This window comes from Homo sapiens, chromosome 18 (assembly GCF_000001405.40).
Source record: "Homo sapiens chromosome 18, GRCh38.p14 Primary Assembly".
Taxonomy (NCBI): Eukaryota; Metazoa; Chordata; class Mammalia; order Primates; family Hominidae; genus Homo; species Homo sapiens.
This window is the reverse complement of record NC_000018.10, coordinates 2,613,454-2,622,092: the sequence shown is the minus strand read 5'-3', so window position 1 is coordinate 2,622,092 and position 8,639 is coordinate 2,613,454. Positions and strand designations below refer to the sequence as shown.

The 8,639-nt window shown below is 38.5% G+C and overlaps 1 protein-coding gene across 1 annotated transcript in view; it reads right to left on the bottom strand.

The window, feature by feature from the left end:
• Window positions 1–5,457: 5,457 nt before the first annotated feature.
• NDC80 (NDC80 kinetochore complex component) overlaps window positions 5,458–8,639 on the bottom strand; it is a 45,079-nt gene continuing 41,897 nt past the window's right edge. The window contains exon 17 of the mRNA NM_006101.3: window positions 5,458–5,656. Within this exon, the coding sequence (NP_006092.1) occupies window positions 5,519–5,656 (138 nt within the window). The 3' untranslated portion in view covers window positions 5,458–5,518. The remainder of the gene's footprint in view (window positions 5,657–8,639) is intronic.

Here is an 8,639-nt window from a genome sequence, read left to right as displayed (position 1 = left end):
AGCTAGACTCTGTCTCTGCAAAAAAAAAAAATACAAAAATTAGCTGTATGTGGTGGTGCACACCTGTAGTTCCAGCTACCCAAAAGGCTGAGGCAGGAGGATTACATGAACCCAGGAGTTCGAGGCTGCAGTGAACCATGATCACACCATTGCATTCCAGCCAGAGCGATAGAGCAAGACCCTATCTCTAAAACAGATATTAATAAATAAATAGAAAGGAGAGGAGCGAGAATGATAAATAAATGTTTGTAGTGAAATATTAGCAAGAGAATTTGTATGAGGGGGACAATTTGAATTACTCTTGCAACCTTTTTAAAAAGTCAAATTCTTCCAAAATTTAAAATTAAATAAAAATTTAAAAAACACTTCCATAGAAGAAAGACTTAAATAACAACACTGAAAGTGAGGAAAAATGACAAAGAGATTAAAACAATTGGGAAAAAATTGATTTAATGAAACATAGAATCAAACATAAGATGGATAATAAAAAATAAAGATAATTGATGTTCCTCAATGGAATTAGACTGCGATAACCCAACTACTCAGTGGTAAAAACATGGAACTAGAGGAAGTTACAAAGAGGCAGATTTTGGTCCAGTAGAAGACAGAACTTTATGACAAGCAGCATGCTCAAACATCAAATGTTTTAAAGTAATGAGCAGTTTGGAAGAAGTCCTATCATACAAAGCGTCAGTAAGGATTTGGACCAACAGGAACCCTCACTGCAGGTAGGAACATAATATAGTACAACCACTTGGAAAACAAATATTTTGTGAGTTTTCTTTCTTTCTTTCTTTCTTTCTTTCTTTCTTTCTTTCTTTCTTTCTTTCTTTCTTTCTTTCTTCTTTTTCTCTTTCTTTCTTTTTCTTTCTCTCCTTCCTTCCTTCCTTCTTTCCACTCATCAAGTGTAGTAGTGAGAAGAGGGAAAGAGTAGAACAAGGAGTTTGATCTGTAACTGAATATGAAAAATCAATTGAGATAACATACTACCTTTGGACAAGCCAGTGAATTTCTTTTTTTTTTTTTTTTGAGATGGAGTCTCACTCTGCCATCCAGGCTGGAGTGTAATGGTGTGATCTTGGCTCACTGCAACCTCCATCTCCTGGGTTCAAGCGATTCTTCCTCCTCAGCCTCCCAAGTGGCTGGGATAACAGGCACCCGCCATCATGCCCGGCTAATTTTTGTATTTCTGTAAAGATGGGGTATCACCATGTTGGACAGGCTGGTCTTGAACTCCTGACCTCAGATGATCTACACGTTTCGGCCTCCCAAAGTGCTGGAATTACAGGCATGAGCCACCGCGCCCAGCCACCAGTGAGTTTCTTAAAAGTTAAATTTGCGTCTATGCTATACGGACTAGCTATTCCACTCCAAGGTTTTTAACTAAGAGTAATGAAAAAGCATGTGTCCATATGAACATTCATACATGAATGTTCATAATGGCTTTTTATTTGTAATAGTCAAAAACTATAAACAACACAATGACCATCAACAGGTGAATGGATGAACAAACTCAGCGTGTTCATATAATGGAATATTACTTGACAATAAAAAGGAATAAACTATTGATACACAGAACATGTGTGAGTCTCAGAAGAATTATTCTGAGTGAAAGAAGCCATGCAGAAGTATACATACTACATTATATATTTATGTAATATTCTAGAAAGTTGTAAATTTCTTTGTTTTCAATTTACTGTTTCTGTTACCAATTTACTAATTGGTCTGTAGTAACAGAAAGGTGATTGATCAGTGCTTTCCTGGAGATTGGTGTGGTGTGGGGGGTGAGAATGGATGGCAAAGGGCTATAAGCAAACTCTTGGTGGTGATGGATATGTTCATTAGCTTGATTGTGATGATGGTTTTACAGATACAGATGTCAACACTTATGAAAACTTTAAATATGTAGTTTATGTTAATACACTATAAAAAGTACAGATTCTGATTCAGTAGGTTTGGGGTGGGATCAAGAGTATGCATTTCTGGACCAGGCACAGTAGCTCACACCTGCAATCCTAGAGTTTGGGAGGCCAAGTTGGGAGGATTGCTTGACTCCTGGAGTTTGAGACCAGCCTGGACAACATAGTGAGATCCTGTCTCTAAAAAAAAAAAAAAATTAGGCCAGATGTGGTGGCTCATGCCTGTAATCCCAGCACTTTGGGTGGCTGAGGCGGGCAGATCACTTCAGGTCAGGAGTTCGAGACCAACCTGGCCAACATGGTGAAACCCTGTCTCTACTAAAATACACAAATTAGCAAGGCATGGTGGCACGTGCCTGTAATCCCAGCTACTCGGGAGGCTGAGGCATGAGAATTGCTTGAACCTGGAAGGTGGAGGTTGCAGTGAGCCAATTTGGTACCACTGCACTCTAGCCTGGGTGATAAGAGTGAGACTCTGTGTCAAAAAAAACCAAAAACAAACAAACAAAACCAACCAAATTAGACGTGGTGGCATGAGCCTGTGGTCCTAGCTACTTGGGAGGCTGAGGTGGTGGAATGGCTTGAGACCAGGAGTTTGAAACTGCAGTGAGCTATGATCACACCACTGCACTCCAGACTGGGCGACAGAGCGAGACTCTGTCTCTTAAAACAGAGTCTGCATTTCTAACAAGCTCACAGGTGATGGTGATGCTGCTGTTGTTTCTGTACCAGGTTGTGAGTGGCAAAGATCTTGAGTCTTTTTAATTTTTTTTTTAACAATTTTTAGATTCAAGGGTTACTTGTATGTTACACGGGTATATTGCATATTGGTGGGGCTTCTAGGTAAAATAGGTAATTGTTCAACTCTAGGCTCCTTTCCATCCTCCCCCACTTTTGGAGTCCCCAGTGTCTATTATTTCCATCTTTATGTCCCTGTGTACATGTTTAACTCCCAGTTATACATGAGAAAATATGGTATGTGGTTTCTTATTTCTGAGTCAGTTAACTTAGGATAAAGGCCTCCAGCTCTATCGATATTGTTGCGAAGAATATGATTTCATTTATGACTGTGGCAATTTTATTTTTTATTGATACATAATAGATGTGCATATTTCTGGGGTACATGTGATATTTGGTATTATTAATATAATGTATAATAACCAAATCAGGGTAAATGGAACATCCATCACCTTAAACATTTATCTTTTCTTTATGCTGGAAACATTTGAATTATTCTCTACTATTTTGAAATATACAATAGATGTTTTACTATAGTCACTCTACTGACTTATCGAACACTAGGTCTATTTTTTCTATCTACCTGTATTTTTTTGTAGCCATTTATTGACCTCTCTTCATCCCTCCCTCCCCCTACCCATCCCTGCCTCTGGTAACCACCATTCTTTATGAGATCCACATTCCTAACTCCTACATCTGAGTGAGAACATGTGATATCTGTGTTTCTGTGCTTGGTTTATTTCACTTAACAGTGACCTTCAGTTCCGTCCGTGTTGCTGCAAATGATAGGATTTCATTTTTTTAAACGGTGGAATATTCCATTGTGTATATATATCACATTTTCTTTATCCACTTATCCATTGACGGGCACTTGGGTTGATTCCATATTTTGGCTATTGTAAGTAGTGCTGAAATAAACATGGGAGTGCAGACATCTCTTCAATATATTGATTTCTTTTCTTTTGGATATATACCCAGCAGTGGGATTGCTGGATCATATGATAGTTCTATTTTTAATTTTTTCAGGAATCTCCACAGTTTTCCATGGTGGCTGCACTAATTTACATTCCCATCAACAACGGAGGAGGGTTCCCTTTTGTCCACATCCTTGCCAGGAACCCTATTCGCTTTTTGATAAAAGCCATTTTAACTGGCGTGAGGTATTCATTGTGGTTTTGATTTGCATTTCTCTGAATAGTGATGTTCAGCATTTTTTCACATACCCATTGGCCATTTGTATGTCTGATTTTGAGAAATGTCCATTCAGATCTTTGAGATTCTTTCTTCATGTGTCACTTGAGTGCACAATAACTACATGTGGCTGGTACCACACTGGATAGTGCAGATAGAACATTTATATAGAAGAAAGTTCTATTAGATGTCAGAAGTCAAGATTTTTCAATACATTGGTAACTACTACGCTTGTCATTATTAGTTATCCCTAAACTGTAACCTCTTTTTCATTCCATTCTAAATGCACTTCTCTTCATAAAGCCTTGCTGTAATTCCATTCCAAGTTTTTATTGTATTTTACTTACATTTCTTTTTATGTTCTTCATTCTGACTCACATTTGAAAGAACAGAAATTTAAACCTCACATTCTAACGTCCTGAATATTCATTTGTCATGGCTCCTGTGGCTGTACCCAGGATTGTGCACCAGCTCAAATAAGTTCCACTGTGGCTTGTAGCACTACTAAGAAGTGTAATCTGAGGGAAATCAGAGCTTCTCTAGAAATAAACTCCCATCTCTAAAATGAGGGGGTTGAACTCTTTTATTTCTTCTGTTTCTCACATTCTGTATTCTTCTGTTTCGGAGTAAAGATGGCATGAAGCCAGAAAACCACAGGGCTCTGGATCAGGAGTGGGTTGTACTATATGCCTAGAGTCATTAAAAAGTTTAGTTAGTATCAACCTTTGTATAATTTGTACAAGGGATCGGCGAACTTTCTGTAAAGGGTCAGACAGTAAACATTTCTCAACATTTCTGGCTTTGCAGGCCACATGGTCTCTCTGGAATATACTCAACTCTGCCACTGTAGTAAGAAAGCAGTCATAGACAATATGAAAATAAATGGGTGCGGCTGGATTTGGCTCACATGATGTAGGTTGAGAACATCTCTAATCCAAAAAGCTTCAAAACCTGAAACTTTTCTTTTTTTCTTTTTTGGAGATAGGGTCTTGCTCTGCCACCCAGGCTGGTGTGCAGTGGCGTGATCACAGCTCACTGCAGCCCCAACCTCCTGGACTCAAGGTAGACTCCTACCTCAGTCTCGTGAGTAGCTGGGACTGCAGGTGGGTGCCACCATGCCTGGCTTATTTTTAAACTTTTTGTAGGGTCTCACACCTTGGCCTCCCAAAGTGCTTGGATTACACGCATGAGCCACCACAAACAGCCTAAAATCTGAAACTTTTTGAGCGCTGACATAACACCAACTGGAAAATGCCACATTTGACCTCATGAAGGATTTCAGTCAAAATTGTTTCATGCACAAAATTATTAAAAATATTGTATGAAGTAACCTTCAGCCTATGTGTATAAGGTGTATAAATAAATCTCATGTTTAGACATGAGTCCTGTCCTCAAGATATCACAAGATTTCCAAAATCTGAAAAACAAACAAACAAACAAACACACAAAAAACAAAAAACCCAACCCCCAAAAACCCAATTCCAAAACAATTCTGGTCCCAAGCATTTTGGGTAAGGGATCCTCAACCTGTATTTTGCCGACTTCTGGTTTAAATCATACTACCTTGCCTTCTCACCATTTGAAATTAGTAAGAAATGAGAGAGAAAAATACACTTTACTGAGACAATTTTATTCACTATGGATATATATACATGATCAACATTTTATCTTCATTCTTCAGAAGACTTAATTAGAGTAGCTTTCTTCTCATACTTATCTCTAATCTCTTTAATATTTTCCGAGAGATCTTCTGACATGCATTCTTCATATTCTCTATCAACTTTAGCAATCTGCTCCTCAAGATGTTTCTAGTGAAGAGAATTAACAATTGTTAAAGTAAAAAAAATTAATTTCTTTTAAAATGTTTAATTGTAAAATTTACAAACAAGAGGATAACATTTTTAAGTTAAGAATAAAAAGGGCCGGGCATGGTGGCTCACTCCTGCAATCCCAGCACTTTATGAGGCTGAGGTGGGTGGATCACTTGAGGTCAGGAGTTTGAGACCAGCCTGACCAACATGGCAAAACCCCCTCTCTACTAAAAATACAAAAATTAGCCAGGTGTGGTGGTGTGTGCCTGTAATTCCAACTATGCAAGAGGCTGAGGCAGGAGATCACCTGAGGCTGGGAAGTGGAGGTTGCAGTGAGCCAAGATTGGACCACTGCACTCCAGCCTGTGTCACAGAGCAAGATGCTATCTCCAAAAAAAAAGTAAAAAGAATATATTTGTATTCACCACATAGGCTCTCTTTTTGTGCCCTTTCTGAATTGTATCTTCTTTTTTCTCCCCAAGATATAGCCTCTTGCCTGAATGGTGTTTTGCTTTTCTTTATATTATACCTTTATTACACACACATGTCTAAATATATATTGACTTAATAGTACCTGGTTTTCACCTTCGTATTTATCAAATGATATTAAATATAATGTTCTATGACTTTTTCATATAGTATTTTAAAATTCATTCATGTTACTACATATGGCTGCAGTTTATTCAATGTACTGCATAGTATTCTAGAATGAATATATCAACATTTACTTATTTTGCTGGTAATGAAGTTTTGTTTGTTCCCAGGTATAGTAGGCTGAGTAATAGCCTTTCCAAAGATGTCCATGCCCTAATTCCAGAAAGGAACCTGTGACTATTAGCTTACATAGCAAAAGAAACTGTAGATGTGACTAAGTTAAGGATCTTGAGAAAAGGAGATTATCCTGCACTATCCAGGTGGGTCCTTAGAAGAGGAAATCACCAGTGTCAGAGTCAGAGAAGGAATTTAAGGACAGCAGCAGAGGGCAGAGAGGAGAGAAGATGCCATGCACTGGCTTTAATGATAAAGGAAGGAGCTACAAGCCAAGGACTGTAGGTGGCCTCTAGAAGCTGGCAAAGGCCCCAGAAAGATTACAGCCCTTTGGACCCATTTTAGACTAACCTTAATAACTCTAAGATGACAAATTTGTGTTGTTTTAAGCCATTAGGTTGGTGGTAATTTGTTACATTAGCAATGGGAAACTAACATGCCACATTATTTTTTCTTGTTGTTTTTGTTGATTTTTTTGCGATTTCAAATACTGATACTGTAACAAATTGCCACAAACTAGGTGGCTTAAAACAACAGAAATGTACTCTTTCAGCTCTGGAGGCCGGAAGTTTGAAATCAAGACGTCAGCAGGGCCATGGTCTCTCTGAAGGCTCTAGGGAAGAATCCTTCTTCGTCTCTCCCCAGTTGCTGGCGGCTCCTGGCAGTCCTTGGTGTTCCTTAGCATGCGGCTGCTTCACCCCAGCATCCGCCTCTGTCCGCACACGATCTTCATGTAAGGATGCCAGTCACTAGATTTAGGGCCTACCCTAATCCAACATGACCTCATCTTAACCAACTGCTACCCTAATCCAACATGACCTCATCTTAACCAACCGCATTTGCAAAGATCCTACTTCCAAATAAGCTCACCTTCTGTGATTTAGGATAGACATGACTTTTGCGGGGGGCACTATTCAACCTAGTACAGCCCCCTAGCATATAGTGTAAATATTTTTTTTAGGGCAAATATACCTAGAGTGAAAGTTGGTTTTTCGGATTGCCAAATTTATTTCTTTCTTTCTTTCTTTCTTTCTTTCTTTCTTTCTTTCTTTCTTTCTTTCTTTCTTTCTTTCTTTCTTTCTTTCTTTCTTTCTTTCTTTCCCTTCCTTCCTTCCTTCCTTCCTTCCTTCCTTCCTTCCTTCCTTCCTTCCTTCCTTCCTTCCTTCCTTCCTTCCTTCCTTCCTTTCTTTCTTTCTTTCTTTCTTTCTTTCTTTCTTTCTTTCTTTTTTTGAGACAGCATCTTGCTCTGTAGCCAGGCTGGAGTGCAGTGGTGCGATCTCGGCTCACTGCAACCTCTGCCTCCTGGGTTCAAGCGATTCTCGTGCCTCAGCCTCCTAAGTAGCTGGGATTACAGGCACGTGCCACCACACCCAGCTAATTTTTGTATTTTTAGTAGAGATGGGGTTTCACCATGTTGGCCAGGATGGTCTCGATCTCCTGACCTTGTGATCCGCCAGCCTTGGCCTCCCAAAGTGCTGGGATTACAGGCATGACCCACTGTGCCCAGCCACCAAATTGTTTTCTAAAATTATTTTATCAATTTACATAGTTGCTAGCAGTAAATTAGAACTCCCATTTCTCCACATCCTTGCTGGCATTTGGTAATGATCAAACTAAATTTTTGCCAATTTCTTAAGTGTGGAATATGACATATACTTTCATATGTTTATTGGCCACCTTGGTTCTTTTGTGAAATTCTCATTCAAGTAAAATAATTATTTTTATTGATACATATCAGATGTACATATTTTCGGGGCCCCTTCAAATCTTTCGTCCATTTATTTATTTTTCAAAGGCCATTGTATATCTGGATGGTAATCTTTTACCAGTTGTGTTTTAAAAAACATCTTCTATCAGTTTGTGGCTTGTCTTTCCACTCTCTTTCCGTGTCTTTTGATGTAGAGAAGATCTTAATTTTAAGAAAGGTAAATTTGTAAATAATTTTTTTGTGGTTTGTGCTTTTTGTGTCTAATTTAAGAACTCATTTACAACCCCTAAAGTATAAAGATAGTTTCTTATAATTCTCGTAAAAGTTAAAAAAGTTAGCCTCACATTAATTTCTGAATCCATCTGGAACTGATTTCTGTGTAGAGTTTAAGGTAGGGATCCAACTTCATTAATTGAACAATTCATTTTATCCAACTATTCTGAAATACTGCCTCTCTCACATATATTTCATGTCTATGCTCATGCATCTATTTCTGTACTCTTA